Here is a 21,791-nt window from a genome sequence, read left to right on the forward strand (position 1 = left end):
CATAAAATGAGTTAGGGAGGATTCCCTCTTTTTCTATTGATTGGAATAGTTTCAGAAGGAATGGTACCAGCTCCTCCTTGTACCTCTGGTAGAATTCGGCTGTGAATCCGTCTGGTCCTGGACTTTTTTTGGTTGGTAGGCTATTAATTATTGCCTCAATTTCAGAGCCTGTTATTGGTCTATTCAGGGATTCAATTTCTTCCTGGTTTAGTCTTGGAAGGGTGTATGTGTCCAGGAATTTACCCATTTCTTCTAGATTTTCTAATTTATTTGCATAGAGGTGTTTATAGTATTCTCTGATGGTAGTTTGTATGTCTGTGGGATTGGTGGTGATAACCCCTTTATCATTTTTTATTGCATCTATTTGGTTCTTCCCTCTTTTCTTCTTTATTAGTCTTGTTAGCAGTCTATCAATTTTGTTGATCTTTTCAAAAAACCAGCTCCTGGATTCATAGACATTTCGAAGGGTTTTTTGTGTCTCTATCTCCTTCAGTTCTGCTCTGATCTTAGTTATTTCTGGCCTTCTGCGAGCTTTTGAATGTGTTTGCTCTTGCTTCTCTAGTTCTTTTAATTGTGACATTAGGGTGACAATTTTAGATCTTTCCTGCTTTCTCTTGTGGGCATTTAGTGCTATAAATTTCCCCCTACACACTGCTTTAAATGTGTCCCAGAGATTCTGGTATGTTGTGTCTTTGCTCTCATTGGTTTGACTTTTAACAATTTTCACTTGAGCACCCACTTGAATCTGCTTTTGTCTGGCCATAAAAATCCCACATGGGCACCCTCAGTTCACTAAATACTGCTGTAAACTCATATGACAGGGTCTCCAGTAAGTGAGCAAGTTTCTTTTCTCGGCATCTTGGCTGAGCCACAGCACGAAAAGGCACACCTATCTTGTGATGTGCCTCAAGAGCCTATGAAGGAAGTTCTGCTGCAGCTGGTCACTGCCTTTTTCTCTGAACTTTCTGATAATGTCTACCTTTTCAATGTCAAGGTCACTTGCATTAGCCTATATTAAAAAGTTGCATTTTATCATAAATATAAAAAGATCAGTCCAAACCAATTCCAGACAGAATATAGGCACAAAGGAATTCATATTATCCGGGAAAAATCGCTCATATTTTTCTTTTCTTCTTTTTTTTTTTTTTTTTTTTTTTTTTTTTGAGGCTGAGTCTCGCTGTGTTGCCTAGGCTGGAGTGCAATGACGCTATCTCAGCTCACTGCAACCTCTGCCTCCCAGGTCCAAGCGATTCTCCTGCCTCAGCCTCCTGAGTAGCTGGGATTATAGGCATGCACCACCACGCCCGGCTAATTTTTGTATTTTTAGTAGAGACGGGGTTCCACCTTGTTGGCCAGGCTGGTCTCGAATTCCTAACCTCGTGATCCGCCCACCTCAGCCTCCCAAAATGCTGGGATTACAGGTCTGAGCCACTGTGCCTGGCCATTTTTTTTTTCGTTTCTTTTCTTTTCTTTCTTTCTTTTTTTTTTTTTTTTTGAGACGGAGTCTCACTCTGCTGCCCAGGTTGGAGTGCAGTGGGGCAATCTTGGCTCACTGCAAGCTCTGCTTCCCCGGTTCATGCCATTCTCCTGCCTCAGCCTCTCGAGTAGCTGGGAGTACAGGTGCCTGCCACCACGCCCGGCTAATTTTTTTTTTTTTTTTTTGGTATTTTTCTAGAGACTGGGTTTCACCGTGTTAGCCAGGATGGTCGTGATCTCCTGACCTCATGATCCACCCACCTCGGCCTCACAAAGTGCTGGGATTACAGGCGTGAGCCACCGCGCCCGGCCACGCCCGGCCATTTTTCATATTTCACAAGCTGAAAAAAAGTTATAATTGTCCTTTAAAAATACATGTCTAGGCCGGGCACGGTGGCTCACGCCTGTAATCCCAGCACTTTGGGAGGCCGAGGCGGGCGGATCACGAGGTCCGGAGATCGAGACCATCCTAGCTAACACTGTGAAACTCCGTCTCTACTAAAAATACAAAAAATTAGCCGATGGAGTGGCGGGCGCCTGTAGTCTCAGCTACTAGAGAGGCTGAGGCAGGAGAATGACATGAACCCGGGAGGCGGAGCTTGCAGTGAGCCGAGATAGCGCCACTGCAGTCCGGCCTGGGCGAAAAAGCGAGACTCTGTCTCAAAAAAAAAAAAAAAAAAAAAGAAAGAAAAATTCATGTCTGTGGCATATGCCTGTAATCCCACCTACTCGAGAGGCTGAGGCAGGAGAATCGCTTGAACCAGGGAGTTGGAGGTTGCGGTGAGCCAAGATCACACCAGTGCACTCCAGGCTGGCAACAGAGCGAGACTCTATCTCAATAAAAAAAAGGCCGGGCGCGGTGGCTCACGCCTGTAATCCCAGCACTTTGGAAGGCCGAGGTGGGCGGATCATGAGGTCAGAAGATCGAGACCATCCTGGCTAACACGATGAAACCCCGTCTCTACTAAAAATACAAAAAATTAGCCGGGCGTGGTGGCGGGCACCTGTAGTCCCAGCTACTCGGGAGGCTGAGGCAGGAGAATGGCGTGAACCCGGGAAGCGGAGCTTGCAGTGAGCCGAGATTGCGCCACTGCACTCCAGCCTGGGCGACAGAGCGAGACTCTGTCTCAAAAAAAAAAAAAAAAAAAAAAAAAACCACCACCACCAACAAAAAACTTGTGTAATCAATCTAGGTGCAAGAAAAAAAAACAATAAAATATGAAGCTGAGGTCTTTCAAGCCAGTAATATGATATTGCCTTTTTAATTTCAAAAAACATGTTATGGCTAATGAATACATGAACATGTAATTCATTCAGATTAAAATATTTACAGTACAATATTTGTGTTTAGAACTCATAGTAACACATTTTATGCAGCAATCTCTGTCAAATTCATTAGTTTGATTTATACCCAGTGTATAATACACAAACACTGCACACTAACAATCATGTCAACTAAATTATTTTATTGAATAATTAAATGAACATGCCTGATAAAAACATAACTCTGTCAAATTCAAATGAAGTCTTATCTAAGTATTTTCACATTTTAGGAGTATAGCGTATCTCTATGTATGTCACTGAAAGCCAGAATTATAATTAAGGTTTATTTTTTGCAGGTAGCTAACAAGAAATTTCTTTTCCACAAATGAGTTTGCCAAGGCTAATTTGGTCAAAAGGTTTCTGTCCTTGGCTCCCCTGTTGCCACTACTGCTGGGTAATGGTTACACTAATCCTCTTTGCATGAGAGGTCCTGATGTGTTTGCTAAACCCAGATCGCTGAAGCACTGGTCTGGTGACTATATTTTTTGAGAACCACTGCTCTAAAGCACCTAAATTATGTTTTCTGAAACTTTCCCTTCAGGCAAAATGGACTAGTAAAATTTTTGCTGGGTAACTGAGACACAAAATAATGGCCTTAAAACCTTTTATCCTAATGCTTTGACTTTCTCTCTAATGTGGCTTCTACCACTTGTACCTAGAACAATTAACCACATCCTCAACATCAAATTATATTTATAAGGCATATTCAATGTGTTGACAGATTTAAGCTTATAGAATGACCAAAATAGAATACAGATAGGAAGCACCATAAATGTAACAAAACCACTTCAAAAATGTACCCTGCCATAGCCCTAGTAGTTTAACTAAAATCTTAAGCGACAATGAATTTAAGCTCAATTTGGGGGGTTAAAAAACAACAGATAAAATTCAGGAATGATTTTTTTAGACGTATGGAGTATTAGGCTGCTCATCTGAAATTATTCTCATCATTCTGAAACCTGTTGCTGTACAGCCCTGAGAGCTAATTTGTAAAGGGTTATTAAAAAAACAGACATGAAAACAAAAGATAATACCTAAAATACTTGCTGGCTGCCCTTCGTGGAAGGTGTTTGCCACCCCATGCACTGCAGAATCCTCTAGCTGTGGTTACTGAGCCTGGCTCTGATTGTTTTGAGGTGGCCATGGTGAGAACCGCTCACAGGCAGATAGTTTGCCATCTTTGATCTGAAAGTTGAATTCCCTCTTTTGTTGAGAACCTCACATAATAAATTATTCTTTTGGACCTCCATATTGTGTAATTCAGTACACTCCACTGATGGCTTTCATTGGAATATATATTATATAAAGAATAGATCAATATTTCTGTTCCTGGCCACATATTCCTGTGTATACTATAAAAGATTGGTTTTGACATAGACAGTCTTCTTGAAATTCTGCTTTGTCAAGGATATTAATAATATAGTTTGTTTTATTAAAATCCTATTTTCCCCATCTTCTCTCTGCTTGACCCAATTCCAATCATTCCACAAGCACAGCTTCATTCCATTAACATTGATGCAGCCCCTTCTGGGTATCACTCACTGTGCTGGAGGCTGGGAGAAAACAGTGAACAGGACAGGCCTGGCCCTGCCCTCACTGAGCGGACAGTGCTTCCACACTTTCTTACTTCTATGAGGAAGGAATGTATTTCACAGGAGACATCCTAAAATCCTAGAAACTACAGTGACAATTTACAGCTCAGAATGGAAGAAGTAGGCAGAAAAAGGCTTGCCTTTCTTGAAAGTGTCCAGAAGGCAAGAATGAAAAGAAACAAGGGAATCTTAACACACCAATCTACTTTCACATAACATTTACAAATATGCATCAGAAAGTGCCCAATCATGGTTCAAGAAATCCTCAAGTTAGCCGACACAACTGAACAGCAACTCAACAGGGAGAATCCAAATTGAGACTAGAGGTCAGGAAATGCATCTCCAAGGAGTCATATTTAAGCAGAGACTTGAATGGTGGGATGTAAACATACAGGTGGAAAAAATGGGAAGAAGCATTTTCAGCAGGTAAACCCACGTGCAAAGGGTGAGAAGAGAGTGTGGCTCAGTGGACTGAAAGAAGGCCTGGTGGGGAGGAGGCAGGAGGTGAAACGAAGGCTGTCAGGAGGTGAGATGGTGAACCTTGCTGAGAAGTGTGTGCTATCTTAGAAGCAATGGAAAGCTGCTGAATGTTGTAAACAAGCAACCAATTATATCTAATTTGCATTTTTCAAAGGTAACTTAGCAGCAATGTGGAGAACATAATGTACTACTGAGTTCAGAGACAGGGAGACCTACAGTAAGAAAGCAATTGCAGAAAGCGAGGTGAGTGCAGCTTTGCATTAAGTGGGTGAGTAGAGCTAGAGAGAAGGAAATGCAGTTGAGTATAATTTGGAGATAAAGTATTCAGAATTTGCTATTTACTGGATGTGTCAAGGATGACTCCCAAGTCTCTAGTGTAAGTTCCTGGTGAATGACAGAACCACTAACAGAGACAAGGAATAGGGAAGGAAGAGTAGGCTTAGGGGTGTGTGAGCCAGGTGAAGAAAGCAAGTTGGGACTTGTTACATTTTAAGTGCTTGTGAGACAACAATGTTACTTGTTAGAGATGCCTTTGTGTTCTTAGTCACTGGTCCTATTGTCCAACTCTGAGGTCTTTCAGTCATCATAGGTCATTTCAGGCTTCAAAGTCTGGTAACAATCAATGATAGACTGGATAAAGAAAATGTGGCACATACACACCATGGAATACTATGCAGCCATAAAAAAGGATGAGTTCATGTCCTTTGCAGGGACATGGATGAAGCTGGAAACCATCATTCTCAGCAAACTAACACAGGAACAGAAAACCAAACACTGCATGTTCTCACTCATAGGTGGGAGTTGAACAATGAGAACACATGGACACAGGGAGGGGAACATCACACACTGGGGCCTGACAGTGGGGGGCTAGGAGAGGGATAGCATTAGGAGAAATACCTAATGTAGATGAGGGGTTGATGGGTGCAGGAAACCACCATGGCATGTATATACCTATGTAACAAACCTGCACATTCTGCACATGTATCCTAGAACTTAAAGTGTAATTGAAAAAAAAAAAGCACAAAGTCTGGTAACAATGTCTGGTATTTAAAAATAGCATTTTAAACCGGGCGCGGTGGCTCACGCCTGTAATCTCAGCACTTTGGGAAGCCAAGGCGGGTGGATCACGAGTCAGGAGATCAAGACCCCTGGCTAACATGGTGAAACCTCGTCTCTACTAAAAATACAAAAAATTAGCCCGGCGAGGTGGCAGGTGCCGGTAGTCCCAGCTACTCGGGAGGCTGAGGCAGGAGAACGGCATGAACCCGGGGGGCGGAGCCTGCAGTGAGCCGAGATTGCGCCACAGCACTCCAGCCTGGGTGACAGAGCGAGACTCTGTCTCAAAAAAAAAAAAAAAAAAATAGCATTTTAAGGCTGGGCGCGGTGGCTCACGCCTGTAATCCCAGCACTTTGGGAGGCCGAGGCAGGCAGATCACGTGGTCAGGAGATCGAGACCATCCTGGCTAACACTGTGAAACCCCGTCTGTACTAAAAATACAAAAATTAGCCGGGCGTGGTGGCGGGCGCCTGTAGTCCCAGCTACTTGGGAGGCCGAGGCAGGAGAATGGCATGAACTCGGGATGCAGAGCTTGCAGTGAGCCGAGATTGCACCACTGCACTCCAGCCTGGGAGACAGAGCGAGACTCCGTCTCAAAAAAAAAAAAAAATAGCATTTTAAATGCATGAAAGTTACATATCTTTAACCTAATTTAGTTATTGCTATGTAATCCAACTATGCTGGTTCTGCTGTACCTTATTAAATGTGTATTCATGTGTCTCAACATTTTCTTTCAACAAATTCTTAGTTACACTCTTTTAGATGAATAGTTTGCTAGCAAGTTTAATTTGGGAAGTGATTAAAAATAAATCAGTGACTAATTGCATAATAACTTTAACAGGAATTAGAAAAAATAAAATAGTATTAAAATAGGATCTCATATCGAAAAGTATGAGAGGATGCTGTGTTTCATATGATTCTAGGATTACTAATAATACTTTCCTACTTAACATCAAATAAAAAGCTTAAGGCTATTAAAGTTTAGAGAAATGTATCCCATTTATTCTTAGATCAAAATATATCCTCTATTCATATGTTTGAATAAACTGAGAATGAGAATCTCATTCTCCAATTTGGCTACAAATAAATCCACATCTTCCCTCACCTGCACCAGCTCTTCAGCACCTGGACACAGGACCGTGCTTCGCACATCTTGCTCAGCACGGTGCCCTGCACAGGGGAAAAGTTCCATGAGCAGATATTGAACCGAATTGAGCTAGTGTTCTTTTCTCTTTTCTTTTCTTTGCTTTGCTTCCCTTCGCTTCTTTTCCTTCCTTCCTTCCTTCCTTCCTTCCTTCCTTCCCTCCCTCCCTCCTTCCTTCCTTCTCTCTCTCTGTCTTTCTTTCCTATTATATCTCCCTTTCTTTTATTTCCTTTTTTTTTTTTTTGGCGGAGTCTCGCTCTGTCGCCCAGGCTGGAGTGCAGTGGCACACAATCTCGGCTTACTGTAACCTCCACCTCCTAAGTTCAAGCAATTCTCCTACCTCAGCTTCCTGAGGAGCTGGGATTACAAGTGCGCACCACCACGCCCAGCTTTTTATTTTTAGTAGAGATGAAGTTTCACCATGTTGGCCAGGCTGGTCTTGAACTCCTAACCTCAAGTAATACACTCGCCTTGGCCTCCCAAAATGCTGGGATTACAGGCATTAGCCACCACGCCCGACCTGAGCTACTGCTTTTTCTAATTAGCTTGACTATTTTCTGTGTTTTCCACACTGGGAGTAGATAACAAGGAGCAGCATTCTCTCATATGACTAAACATCAGTATTTCCAGGTTTTCCTTCATCAGGGAAGGTGACTACTTCCACTTTCCTCCCATGTTGTTATCTTCCCGTTAATGCATTTTCTAAACTCAAATCTACTCAGAGCAGGCCCAGTACTGAATAGAAGGAGGTTCTATATGTAGCCTCTTTTTTCTCCATATGCTCCCTAAACATTTCAAAATACATATTCTTTATTTTTACAGAATAACAGGTTTATAAATATTAACATGTATTGATGCTGTTAAATAAAACCTATTTTTTTCCACTGAAGCAGCCAATTTTTTTTTTTTTTTGAGATGGAGTCTCACTGTGTCACCCAGGCTGGAGTGCAGTGGCACGATCTTGGCTCACTGCAAGCTCCGCCTCCTGGGTTCACACCATTCTCCTGCCTCAGCCTCCCAAGTAGCTAGGACTACAGGCACCCGCCACCATGCCTGGCTAATTTTTTGTATTTTTAGTAGAGACGGGGTTTCACCGCGTTAGCCAGGATGGTCTTGATCTCCTGACCTCGTGATCCGCCCTCCTCGGCCTCCCAAAGTGCTGGGATTACAGGCGTGAGCTACCGTGCCCGGCTTTTTTTTTTTTTTTTTGAGATGGAGTCTCACTCTGTTGCCCAGGCTGGAGTGCAGTGGTGTGATCTCGGCTCACTGCAAGCTCCGTCTCCCAGGTTCACACCATTCTCCTGCCTCAGCCTCCCAAGTAGCTGGAACTACAAGCGTACGCCACAATGCCAGGATAAATTTTTTTTATTTTTAGTAGAGACAGGGTTTCACTGTGTTAGCCAGGATGGTCTCGATCTCCTGACCTTGTGATCCACCTGCCTCAGCCTCCCAAAGTGCTGGGATTACAGGCGTGAGCCACCGCGCCCAGCCCAATCTTTTTTTTTTTCTTTCTTTCTTTTTTCTGAGATGCCACACTCAGAGCCATCTGAGTGTCAGAAAACAGGACCACCCCTCACAGGAAATCCTCTTGTTGATTTGAAGGGCATTAGCTTTATTAACACCTACTCTGAAGCAGGTACTTTGCTAAACCCTGGAAATTTAAAGATGAATAAGACTCAATTCAAGTCCACCCAGGAAGTTAACTTCTAAAGTAACTAAAGACAGGATTATCAAGGTCTTCCATAAAAAACTAAGTTCTACATGAACAGCTATTTAAAGGGCTGAAAAAAGTCATGTTCAATGTCAGTTTGGTTTTGCAACATGTCATGCCAACATTGATTTCAGCTGGGGATAAGCAATACTATATGCATATCTGTACACTTCCATCCTCATCCCAATCCTGCTGTTGAGGTTCCAGGCCAAAGGGAGGAAGCTCTGGAACCTGGCTTCAAAGGGAGGCTGGAGTCTGTAGTGCACCATGCTGCCTGCATTTCTTTTGAAAACCCTGGGAGATAAAAGAGAAAGGAATCAATGAGTCTGCAGAATATCTGGTGCCAACTGCAGGCATGAGAACAAGCACAGTGCAGAGCCTGGGCTGCACCTGGGTCCACACAGAAACACCATCAGAACAGGGAGGACAAAGTGGAGGAGTTTACTGTGAGGTCAGGCACTGCTCCACAGAGGGCAAGACTGCAGATGTGCCACATTAGCGATCAGAGATTTAAACAGTTGCCCCGAGGGGATGGGGCATTTCGGGCAGAACAAACCTCCATGCAGGGCACAGAGGCACGGAAGGACACTGTGAGCTTACAGGGCAGTGCAACAGGATGGAACTTGTATTTTAGGAAACTACAGAGAGCTGCAGAGAGCTGAGTCTTGGGAGGTGGGCTGGGCCACATTGTAAGGGGCCTTGAATATCAAAATATGGAGCAGAGACTGGCTCCAGGCAACGTGGGGTTAAGGGAGTTTTTTAAGGAGGGAGAGACAATAGCAACTTGTTCTGTGTGAAGAGGACCTGGTGGGGGCCTGGGGCCTGGGGCCTGGGACAGGAGGAGAGGCTTGCAGGAGTCAGGGCAGGGAGACTTGCTTTGGAAATCTGTAGATGTATGCCACTCCTAGAGTGGGAATCTTTTTTTTTCGAGACAGAGTCTCGCTCTGTGGCCAGGCTGGAGTGCAATGGTGTGATCTCGGCTCACTGCAACCTCCGCCTCCCGGGTTCAAATGATTCTCCTGCCTCAGCCTCCCGAATAGCTGGGACTACAGGTGCATACTACCATGCCTGGCTAATTTTTGTACTTTTAGTAGAGACGGGGTTTCACCATCTTGGCCAGGATGGTCTCAATCTCTTGACCTCGTGATCCACCCACCTCAGCCTCTCAAAGTGCTGGGATTACAGGCAGAAGCCACTGCGCTCGGCCAAGAGTGGGAATCTTTACAGCTCCATTTTACATACAGATCTAATTGGAAGGTAATTCACAATCAAGAATACGTTAATATAGAGACCATGTCATTTGGAATTTAACCAATTATTTGGAGGTGGTACAGTAGCACATTTATCTCTTGGTGTACATTCAGGTTTTGTCCTTTTTTTGTTTCTCCTTTTCTAAACAGCTATGATTAAATCAAAGTGGTGGTGATTTTGCAGTGACAATGACTCTGCTGCAGAGGCTTCCTGCGTCTCAGAACCTGTGTCCTTCCCTAGCCTGAGGCCAGAGTATGAGCGTGTCCTCCTTCCTCAGAGGGAGCCCTGCCTCCCTGCTCAAGAGTCTCTCCTAGGAAGGGGTGGGCTTGGGAGGCTGCCCTGGGGTGGCCCCAAGGCTCCTAATGACTGGTGCCTGGCATTTGCCAGCAGCCTCGGCCAGGTGCTCGTCAGGAATGCGGGGCTGTGAGGACACAACCCAGTAGAAACTGGTCATTTGGTGAGTCATATAGCGGGCATCGCTCAGCCCTGGATTAGGGTCACAAAAAGATGACCCTCAGGAAAAGTCTCACGGAAAGTGGTCAATGTGGGCCTCTGAAAATGGGCCCAGAGGGAAGAGAGGCTGGGGAGGGAGGAGCTTAGGGGATCTGCAGAGCTAACGACAGAGGGACCCAGGATGAGCCAAGGCCTAGTGGGTCAACAGAAGGTGCTGGATGAAGCCGTGACAAGAACATGTGTTCAAGGCCGCTCCTCATGGCCATCTAGTTTCTGTCAGGATCACAGGCTGGGGCACATGCTTCTCCTACGGACTGAGGGCTGCTTTAGAAACCGATGTGTTTTCTTATCAGAACACTTCTCGTCACCTCTGGAGAACATCCTGGCCTGGTCATCAGAGCCTCCAAGCGTCATGTGTCCCTTAAAATAAGTATACTTACCAATTACTCAAAGAAGCTCACAGTAATCTCCAGGTTATCTTGAACAACCAACCTGCTAAAGATGCCACAGGTGCCTCAACACTGAAGGAATCAGGTCTATGCCAGCTCAGCTACTTCCTAAAGTTAAACCTTGGAATACACACACATTGAGTTTCTCTACAGCTTTAGGATGCACAGTGGTTGTTATTGTTGCTAGACAAGTCCTTGAAGATTATCCTCTGACTCAAAGCTTTAAAGAAAAATCTTACTGGAAAGGAATTCTTTGGTGAGATGTAGATCAGCATGGCACGCTGTAGGCAACATTTAGGAAAGAAGGCTGATTTCTTCTCTCTCATTCCAAATGCCTTTGTGATACCTGCTTGGGCATTGCCCAGGGATTCCAGCAGTCAGAGGTTCTGTAGGATGGTTTTTCTTTTTTTTTTAAATCCTGCCTCAGGTTTATTTGTACAAATAGCACAGGAGGACACCACCCCCACGCATATAGCAGCCCAGGGGTCACACCAGTCCTTCTGTTCTCAGATTGACAGAGACCTCTACTCTGAAGGCTTCGTGGGGGCCTGGACACCTTTGGAAGCCTGAGCTAGAACTGAAGCTGGAGCTGCAGACTGGGCCTTGGTTTGATCCTTGGCCTTTGGCCGGCAGAACCTGAAGGATGACATTTCTAGCAGAGCTCCAGGGAAGTCTTGCTGGACAGGGCATCTCCTCTGCCCCACCCTTGCTCCTCGAGTCCAGGCTCTTTGCATGGAGGCCCAGTGAACATGGCTGGAGCTCTGAACTTATGTGCTGGTGGACAAAGGTCAGTGACAATCACAGGACACCCCTCTTAACCTATGCATGTAACTTACCAGTGGCTCTTTGGAAATATGGCCTCACCTCTGCTCTCTAGTTCACAGTGACTTGAATGCTTGGGTGTCAGGTTTGGACAGGGTCCCCTGAATGCCTGGGTGTCAGGTTAGGACAGGGTCCCATTTCAGGAGCTAGCAAATGGAAGAAAGCAGGAGGGCAAGGCAGCAGGCAGGTGATAATGTAGACTGTGGCCAGATGGAGTAGGTTCCAACCTTGGACCACCATTCATCTGCTGTGTGAACAGAGGGTGGACACCTTTAAGTGGTAGGGGACTCTGGCTGGGCACGGTGGCTCACGCCTATAATCCCAGCACTTCAGGAGGCCAAGGCGGGTGGATTGCCTGAGGTCAGGAGTTTGAGACCAGCCTGGCCAACATGGCAAAACCCCATCTCTACTAAAAATGCAAAAATTAGCTGGGCATGGTGACGGGTGCCTGTAATCCCAGCTACTCAGGTGGCTGACTCTGCATCTGTGGCTGGGGTGGGTGAGGCTTTGTTTGGTATTTTTATTGCCTATTTTTCTTTTTTTATGCTCAAAGCTACTCCTGGGCAAGTTCCCTGACTCTTGAATCTTTTTCAAAATTTAGCTCTTCCATAATATTTAAACTTAGCTAAGTTGGCCACTATGCAAGCCTCCTGGATTTCCTTCCTTCAAGATATTATAGCATGACTCTTTTGCTAAATTTGTATTCTCATGCAATATTAGCATGAGGAAAATTTTACAACATTTTAAAAAGTGAATATAGCTACTGATAATGAATGTTAAGCTACATTGACATTCATTTTGGAATTAGTGATCACCTACTAAGTTGAACCACATGAAATTTCTGTGGTGTAAATCAAGTCGGTTGAGTACAGGTGACTTCATATGGTTGAACCTACAGGTGACCCTGGATCACTCCTCCACTCCTCATTTTGTAATCCAAGAAAAGGAGGCTCAGGATGTGAAGTAACTTACTCATGGTCACATAAATTATTAGGCGTTGACTTAGAAACATATAATGTATTTTCTTAACTAAGGGAATGAAAAATTCTTATTACTACTCCATTTACGAATTGCCTTGGCTATTCTTGCATGTAAATAGATATACATATATACACACACACACACACACACACACACACACACATATATATATACATGTGTGTGTGTATATATATATATATATATATATATATATATATATATATATATATGTTTTTTTTTTTGAGACAGAATTACGCTATTATTGCCCAGGCTGGAGTGCAATGGCTTGATCTCAGCTCACCGCAACCTCTGCCTCCCAGGTTTAAGCAATTCTCCTGCCTCAGCCTCCCAAGTAGCTGGGGTTACAGGCGTGTGCCACCACACCCAGATAATTTTTGCATTTTTAGTAGAGACGTGGTTTCACTATGTTGGTCAGGCTGGTCTCAAACTCCCGACCTCAGGTGATCCACCCGCCTCAGCCTCCCAAAGTGCTGGGATTACAGGCATGAGCCACCACATCTGACCAAGTATAGAGTGTTTCTATGTGATTAAAGTTAAGTGGTTGTCCACTGAAAACTGATGACTATGAAGTATAAGAACTTTTATGCAAGCCTCATGGTAACCATAAAGAAAAACTTTCGGCTGGGCACAGTGGCTCATGCCTGTAATCCCAGCACGTTGGGAGGCTGAGGCAGGTGGACCACGAGGTCAGGAGTTCAAGACCAGCCTGGCCAAGATGGTGAAACCTTGTCTCTACTAAAAATACAAAAATTAACTGGGCGTGGTGGTGGGCACCTGTAATCCCAGCTACTCAGGAGGCTGAGGCAGAGAATTGCTTGAACCCAGGAGGCAGATGTTGCAGTGAGCCGAGATTGTACCACTGCACTCCAGCCTGGGTGACAGAGCAAGACTCTGTCTCAAAGAAAAAAGAAAAAAAAAAGAGAAAAAAAGAAAAACTTTCACTAGATACATAAAAGAAAGAGAAATTAATCTATATAATCACTAAAAACAAAAAATCAAATCACAAAGGAAGATAGAAAGCAGAAAGTGAGGAACAAAAAAAACAATTGCTGAACAGAACATCATTAACCAAGTGGCAATAGTAAGTCTTAAGTATAATCACTTTACATGCAAATAGATCAAATGCATCAATCCAAAGATACAGATTGTCCAAAAGGATAGAAAACCAAGATCCAACGATATGTTGTCAACAACACTCACCTTAGACTTAGTAGAAGGAAATAAATAAAAAGATTAGAGGAAAAATAAATAAAGCAGAAATGAAGTTGTATACTTTAAATACACATAAGGTTTGTCAACTATATCTCAATAAAGCTGTAAAAAGAAAATGAAAAAATGGTGCAAAATTTTATCCGTGCAAGAAGAATAAGTCCTAGAGATCTATTATACAACATAGGTCCTACAGTAAATTTTACAGTACTTTATACTTAAAAAACTTGGGGCTGGGTGCGGTGGCTCATGCCTGTAATCCCAGCACTTTGGGAGGCTGAGGCAGGCAGAACATGAGGTCAAGAGATTGAGGCCATCCTAGCCGACATGGTGAAACTCCGTCTCTACTAAAGATACAAAAAATTAGCTGGGTGTGGTGGCACATGCCTGTAGTCCCAGCTACTCAGGAGGCAGAGGCAGGAAAATCATTTGAACCCAGGAGGCGGAGGTTGCAGTGAGCCAAGTGCGCACCACTGCACTCTAGCCTGGCAACAGAGCAAGACTCTGTCTAAAAAAAAAAACAACACAAAACAAAACAAGACAAAACAAAACTTGCCTAGAGGTGTATTTTGTGTTGTGTTTTTATCACATAAAATATAAATAAGAGCACTGGGGAAAATTTTGGAGTTATTGGATATGTTTACAGAATAGACTGTAACTATCCAAAACTATCCAACTTACATATTAAATATTTACTGCTTTTTGTAAGTCAATCATTCTTCCATAAACTCATTTTGTAAAAGGCAGATAAATAATAGAAGGAAAAATAGAAACAAAGAACAGGTGCAATGAATAGAAAACAGTTAACAAATATGGTTGATATTAATCTAGTTATGCCAATAACTAATCAATGGTCTAAATTCATCTATTAAAAGACAGATGTAGAGTGAATCAAAAAACAAAATGCAACTGTATGTCATCTTCAAGAAACACTCTTTAAATATAAATACACATATAGTTTAAAAGTAAAGGTATACGGAAACGTATACTATACTAAGACTAATTTTAAAGAAGCTTGTTTTGAGACAGAGGGGGCTTTAGAACAAGGAAATTCATCAGGGATAAACAGGAACATTTGTTAATTTTAAAAGGGTCAATTTTTCAATCAGTGATATCAATGTACATATATATGCCTCAATGTATATGCCCAATGACAGAGCATCAAAACACAAGGCAAAAACTGATAGAACTGCAAAGAGAACTAGATACATCCAGTATTTTAGTTGAAGATTTTAATACCCTCTATCAGTAATAGACAGACATGGCAGACAGAAAAATCAGGACTGTCCTAGTTGAACTCCCCCAGCATGATTAATCAACTGAATATAATAGATGTCTATAGAATACTTCCACCCAGCAACAGAATAAGGGAAGGTTTACCAGGATACACCACATTCTATGCCATAAAATATACATTGAACAATGCAAAAAAATTAGAAATCACATTACATATGTTCTATGTTTTCATACCCAATGGAATCAAACTAGAAATCAGTTAACAGAAAGATCTGGAAAATCCCAAGATACATGGAGATTTGAAACATATGCTTGTAAGTAAAGTATGGGTCAAAGAAGACAACACAAGATAAATTAAAATTAGAAAGAGTGTGAAGGTCTCTCATAGGGGGGCATATTGTGATGGTAAGACAGAAATCAGTGGCATCCTTGAAACGGTTGCTGGGAACTGAACTGCACCATCAGCAGAGAGGGCATAGTAGGTCCATTGGCGGCTGACCTATTAGAGGAGATACTGCGAGTGAGGTGCAGCTGCAGACTTGAGGCAGACTCACCAATGGTGAGGGAAGAGCAGCGAATGAGTCATAACCAGGGTCTGACCGTAAGGTGGCAGGATGTCAGCAAAGGCATGACTGGTGAGCTAAAAGGCCGGCTACTGGGTGGTGTCTGAAATGACCCTGTGATGAAAACTGTCCATGACCTGAGTGCCGAGTAATTGGTGAATAGGCCTGCAGAAGACACAATTATGTGAGGGACTTTGGGAAACCTGGGACAGCAAAAGCCACGGCACACTGAGGCTTGGAAAAATGGTTCCAAGGGGATGTAAAAGGAGTTGAAAGGTCTGGGTGGTAGTAGGCTTGGAGTTGCTGCATTGTGAGCAATGGCAGGCTAGAATGGGACAGGACCAAGAGGACTCAGAACTAAGCAGTAAGGTCTAAACACACTGTGTGTGTTGGAGGTGATGTCATAGGCACAAAAACTTGATCTTGGAGGTGGCTCAATCAACCATTTTGGGTCCTATCCATCTCTAATGGCTGCAAAGCACAACTGAGATGCCAAGTGTCTCTAGGAGGCACAGGCTGTAGAAACAGTGATAAGGGTGGCCTAAGGGTTAAACTCAATGTGGCCTGAGGAGGGTGAAGAGCCTGAGGCCGACTGGTTGTAGATTTTGTCTGCCTGCCTTACTCTAAATATAGCCTCACAATCTGGACTCGATGGGGAAAGGGTGGGAGCAGGGTGAGGGATAAAAGACTACCACACATTGAATACAGTATAGACTCTTCGGGTGATGGGTGCACCAAAATCTCAGAAATCACCACTAAAGAACTTATTCATGTAACCAAACACCACCTGTTCCCCAAAAACCTACTAAAATTTAAAAAAAGTAACAATAGCTTAACAGTGTTGAAAAGAATATAAGAATACAATAGTTCTTTCCTGATACAATTACATTTTCAATTTTATTAATTTAAGGGAGTATATTTGGGAATTCAGAAAGGTCAAGGGATGAGTACTCTTTAGATTTTTTAAAGGAAACATCAATTAGAATCATTTTGTTTTGCCATAAATAATGTCATATGCTGTTTAGTACACTGGAAATTTTTCTTCTATTATGTGACAAAAATCAAAGATGTATTCCAAAAACTAATTTTCTCAACATCAAAATTTATGAGTAAATTATAATTTTAAAATTTTCCCTTAGAAATTCATGCATTCACAATGTTGATCTCCAGAACAAGGATTGAATACATTAGTCAGACATCAGTTTCTTGATGTTTTGAATAATATAGTCTGGCAATTTCTTCTGTTTCTTAGCCTTCTGTATATAATACATGGATATTGTCCATATTATTGAAATGCAAATTTATTGAAAGGATACTAGCATGTCCACTGAGATTTATAGTGTATCAGTTTTGGAAAAATCCCATCTCATTATATGAAACTGTACTGAAATAAGAGCAAAACATTTGCAAACCATATAGCTTTAAGTAATTAGTGACTTGTTCAGGCCTGCCCCTTAAATTTTTCTGTTTTTGGAAGAAATCAATGAGTACAGACTGTTGAACTTGGATACTCCACATTTAAAGAATGCCATTTTAAATTCCATTCTTCCTGTAAAACTAACATTTTACATCCAAAAAAATAAGTAAATATAGCCCCACAATTTGATGGAAATGGCAGGCTGTTGTATCATGTGGGACAATGGCTCATTCCCATTGAGTTGTGTGGTTAGTTGTCAATATGAGGGCCCATTGAACCTCTCCCTCTTTGTTATCAGGCAGAAGGACATTATCCACATAGTGCCACAAGTGGACATCAGGTGGCAGTCAGAGGGTAGCTAGATCTAGTCAATGCAACCTTGAGCCAGCAGAGGATTGTTGAGGTAGTCCATCAGATGCCTCCTAACGGTGTACTGTCAGCCTTCAAATCTGAAGGTGAACTGCACCTGATCTTCTTCACAAATAGACACAATATAACATGTTTGCCAGGTCAGTAACAAAACCAAGAGGGAGAAGCATTCTGAACTTCTTCAAAGACAATGACAATGCTGGGTAAGGGGACTCTAAAAGGAAGTACAGCCTTGTTGAGGTTGCGGTTTTTAGCAATGAGCCTTCATTCCTTTCCCTGGCCTTGAGAAAGGGCCATTGGTGAGTTAAAAGGTGAGATGGTGGGTTTCAGAACACAAGCTCTATTAACTGGGCAGATCCCCTCTGTGCCTTGCTTGGGTGATATTATGAAGTACTGACCACCTGGAGGAGTCTGGGGAGCTGTAAAAGTTCCCAGTAGGCATGACCTACTTCCGTGCAAAGAACTTGGTGGGGTGAGACCCTCAGTTGGGGAACTGAAGTGCCAGAATGTCCAGGCCAATGATAGGAAATGGTCACTGAGAAATGGGCAGGAGAAACACTGGTGCTCAAGGGAGAAGGATGAGTCCTACCTTAACACTGAGCATGGCAGGCATCCTAAGGGCTCATCTTCCTCTCAGTCCATCAACGGGCACAGGAAGGCTGGTGCACTGCATGGGCAAAGCAGAGATAAGAATGACCCATTATCCAGTGTGTAATAAGACTATACACGTCTACAGGTTTGACCACCAGACTTGGATGTGATAATCTGATTGACACAGGAAAAAAAAGCATTTGGCTAAATCCATCATATGATTAAAACCCTAACCAAACTAGAAATTGAAGAGTACTTCCACAATCTGGTCAAGTGCATCTAAGAAAACCTACGATAAACATCCTCAACTAAGTTAGTGGGTAAAGAATGTTTACTCCATAAGATTGGAAACAATACATAAATAATCACTTTGACCACTTTCATCAACATTCTACTGAAGGATTTTGCTCAAGAAATAATGCTAGGAAAAAAATCAGCCAATGGCTCTTCAAAACACTTAACGTGGAAAGGACACCCTATTCACTAAGTGGTTCTGGGAATAGTGGCTGACCATATGCTAAGAATGAAACTGGACCCCTCTCACTCACCTGTACAAAAATTAACTCAAGATGGATTAAAGGCCTAAATGTAAGACCTAAAACTATAAAGATCCTGGGAGAAAACCTGGGAAAACTCTTCCAGACATGGGAATGCTCATACATTGTTGGTGGGTATGTCAATTAGTTCAACTTCTATGGAAAAAGTAGGGAGGTATCTCAAAGAACTAAAAGTACAACTACCTTTCGACCCAGCAATCCCACTACTGGGTATCTACCCAAAGGGAAAGAAATCATTATATAAAAAGGCACTGCACTCCCATGTTTATCGCAGCATAACTTACAACAGCAAGGTCATGGAACCAAGGTAAGTATCCACCAACGGTTCATTAAATAAAGAAAATGTGGTGCATATACACCACAAAGTACTAGGCAGTCATAAAAAAGAACAAAATCATGTCCTTTGCAGCAACACAGATGCAGCTGAAGGTCATTATCCTACGTGAATGCAGAAACAGCCAAATACTGCATGTTCTCATGAAGATGGAGAGAATACACTATGGGGACTCAAAAAGTTGGGGGGAAGAGTTGAAAACGTACCTACTGGGTACAACCTCCAATATTTGGGTGATGGGTATGCTAGAAGCACACCCCCCCCCATTGTGCATGTGATATACATATAACAAACAAGCACGTGTACCTTCTGAATCTAAAATAAAATAGAAAAAGAAAAAAGCCAAAGAAAAACATCCCGGGAATCCAGGGAGCAGCGGCTACTGCCTCCACTGCTCACTGCAGCCCGCAGATTCCACGCCGGCAGCTCCTGCCTGCGGGCAGTGGAGCTGCGGAGAATGGCGGGATGGGTCTAGGTGCCAGGGCCAGAGCCCAGGAGGGGCGCTGGGTGGGCGTCTGGCCGGCTTCTGCCTTGCACCGGAGCAGGGGTGCCTGGTGAAACAGTCAACCTGATGCTCTCTGGGCCCTGCCCACGTTCCCCTTCCATCCACCCTCCTTTGCATCTTTCTGTGCCTGGGGGCCCCATAGGAAGCGGTCACATCCAGACTCACCAGGCCTGAGATGCTGGAGGATGGAGAAGCACTTGCCACCGGAAAAATCCTCCAGGAACACATGAACAAAACCTCGCCTGCACCTGGGACATCCTTCCTTACGGCTGGCCTACGAGGCAAGTGTTCTGCACACGCTCCTTGGCTAACTCCAATGCAGAGGAGCACGTGAGCCCAACCGCCATGGCAGGTGCAGATCTTTGCCTCCCTTTCACAATGACTGTATTCAAATGACATATCCTGGAAGCCTCTTTCTGATAGGATGAGAGCAGACTCTGTACTACAACACAGATTGGATAAGTCTCCAACTCCGATTAGTGAAGATTATCCAGTCAGAGATGGAGACTATTATCCAATAAGAGTTGTCAAAAAAAGTTCCTTCTCACCCAATCAGAACCAAGCTTACAAGTACAGCAGTTGCGTACAGCCACTGTAAAAGGGAGGCGAAGGCCCATTCTGCCATTTTCTTTTCGTGGAGGTTGGGCTCGCGTGCTTCTCTGCGCTGTGGTCGTCATGGACCGGAAGCGTGTGCGGCGCGCCTGCCTTGAGGCCAACATCAGGGAAGGGTGTCCCAGGTGCAGAGGAAGCGTCCTTCACGTGTTCCTGGAGGACTTTCGGCTCGCAAGCACTTCTCCATTCTCCCAATGTCTCGGGCCTGGTGAGTCTGGATGTGAGCGCATCCCACGGGGCCCAAGGCACAGAGAGAGAGAGAGGAACGGGGTGGAGGGAGGGAAGCGTGTGCAGGGGCCAGGAGCGCCAGGCTGCTCTGGCTTCCCGGCCCCCGCAGCCCGCCAGGAGCTGTGGCCCCGCTTGGGACAAGGCAGAGGCCTGCCCTCCTGCTGCTGGCGCTGTCACCTCCCTGTGGTCCTGCCTTCTGGGTCCCTGAGGGCCTTCTGTCATCTGGAACTGGAAATAAGTTAGTGAAGCGAAGTTTTGTGAATATTTATTGGCCTTTGCGTCTTTGTCTTCATTTTCAGTGCTGGCTTTTCTGTTGGGTCATTTGTGTTCTTACGTTGATTTGAAGAATTTAAAAAGGTATTCTATAAATTAATCCTTTACGGGGTCATTTCTAGTGCAGATAGTTGTTTCTTAGTCTGGTCATTGTACCTTAATTTTATTTAACATTTCTTTCTTGCTGTACAGTATATTTACATATACTGTAAATCATATGCTTTTCTATTTTTCTGCAAATAGGATATTTTACATGAGCTATTTTTGGATGTTAACCAATCCTGACTTTTTTAGTATATCCCACTTGGTATCCATGTGTTACATTTTCATATGTGGTTTAATTCATATGTTTTTTTTTTTAGAATATTTGTATTTCTGTTAATGAAAGAGAGGGCGTATAATTTTTTTTCTAATGTCCTGTTCAGATTGTGGTGCCAACGTAATGCTGGCTTCACAAAACAAACTGAAAAATATTTCCTGTATTTCTTCTCTTTAGAAGAGTCTGAGAAATTTAGGTGTTTTCTTCCTTAAATATTTGGAATATGTCTTTAGACTAGGTATGGAATTTTCCATGTGGAACAGTATTTTTGTTGGCTGGTTTGACTTCTAATAATTCAAATCCTTTGGTATATGTAGGAGTTTTCTTGTTTTATGTTATTTCTGTGCCCATTTTACTAAGTTTATTTTTATTTTTATTTTTATTTTTGGGGGGACAGAATCTCGCTCTCCCAGGCTAGAGTGCAGTGGCACGATCTCGGCTCACTGCAACTTCCGCCTCCCGGATTTCTCCAGCCTCAGCCTAATTTTTGTGTTTCTAGTACACATGGGGTTTCACTATGTTGGCCAGGCTGATCTCGAACTCCTGACCTCGTGATCCACCTGCCTCAGCCTCCCAAAGTGCTGGGATTACAGGTGTGAGCCACCGTGCCCGCCTGTATTTTTTAGTAGAGATGGGGTTTCGGCATGTTGGCCAGGCTGGTCTCAAACTCCTGGCCTCAGGTGATCCACCCACCTCACCCTCCCAAAGTGCTGGGATTACAGTCGTGAGCCACCATGTTCGGCCTAGGAAGTTTATTTTTCAATGTAATGTTATTTGAATCTCTGTTGTCAAACTTCTAGTCCTAAGTATTTCACAGA

General features: G+C 43.4%; 1 long non-coding RNA gene across 1 annotated transcript, besides 1 other annotated feature; it reads right to left on the reverse strand.

The window, feature by feature from the left end:
* Positions 1-8,420: 8,420 nt before the first annotated feature.
* LINC02087 (long intergenic non-protein coding RNA 2087) lies at positions 8,421-19,921 on the reverse strand. Its single transcript, NR_110839.1, has 3 exons — positions 19,707-19,921; positions 18,144-18,221; positions 8,421-9,077 (listed from the first exon to the last, which is right to left on the reverse strand). It is a non-coding gene; the product is annotated as a long intergenic non-protein coding RNA 2087 (long non-coding RNA).
* Positions 15,302-15,864: an enhancer, noted in NCBI's record as "NANOG hESC enhancer chr17:15716437-15716999 (GRCh37/hg19 assembly coordinates)". NCBI's record gives its function as "activates a minimal SCP1, AML or CMV promoter by ChIP-STARR-seq in naive H9 embryonic stem cells {active_cell/tissue: H9 hESC(naive)}" and the evidence as "EXISTENCE:reporter gene assay evidence [ECO:0000049][PMID:30033119]".
* Positions 19,922-21,791: the final 1,870 nt, after the last annotated feature.

This window comes from Homo sapiens, chromosome 17 (genome assembly GCF_000001405.40).
Source record: "Homo sapiens chromosome 17, GRCh38.p14 Primary Assembly".
Classification (NCBI taxonomy): Eukaryota; Metazoa; Chordata; class Mammalia; order Primates; family Hominidae; genus Homo; species Homo sapiens.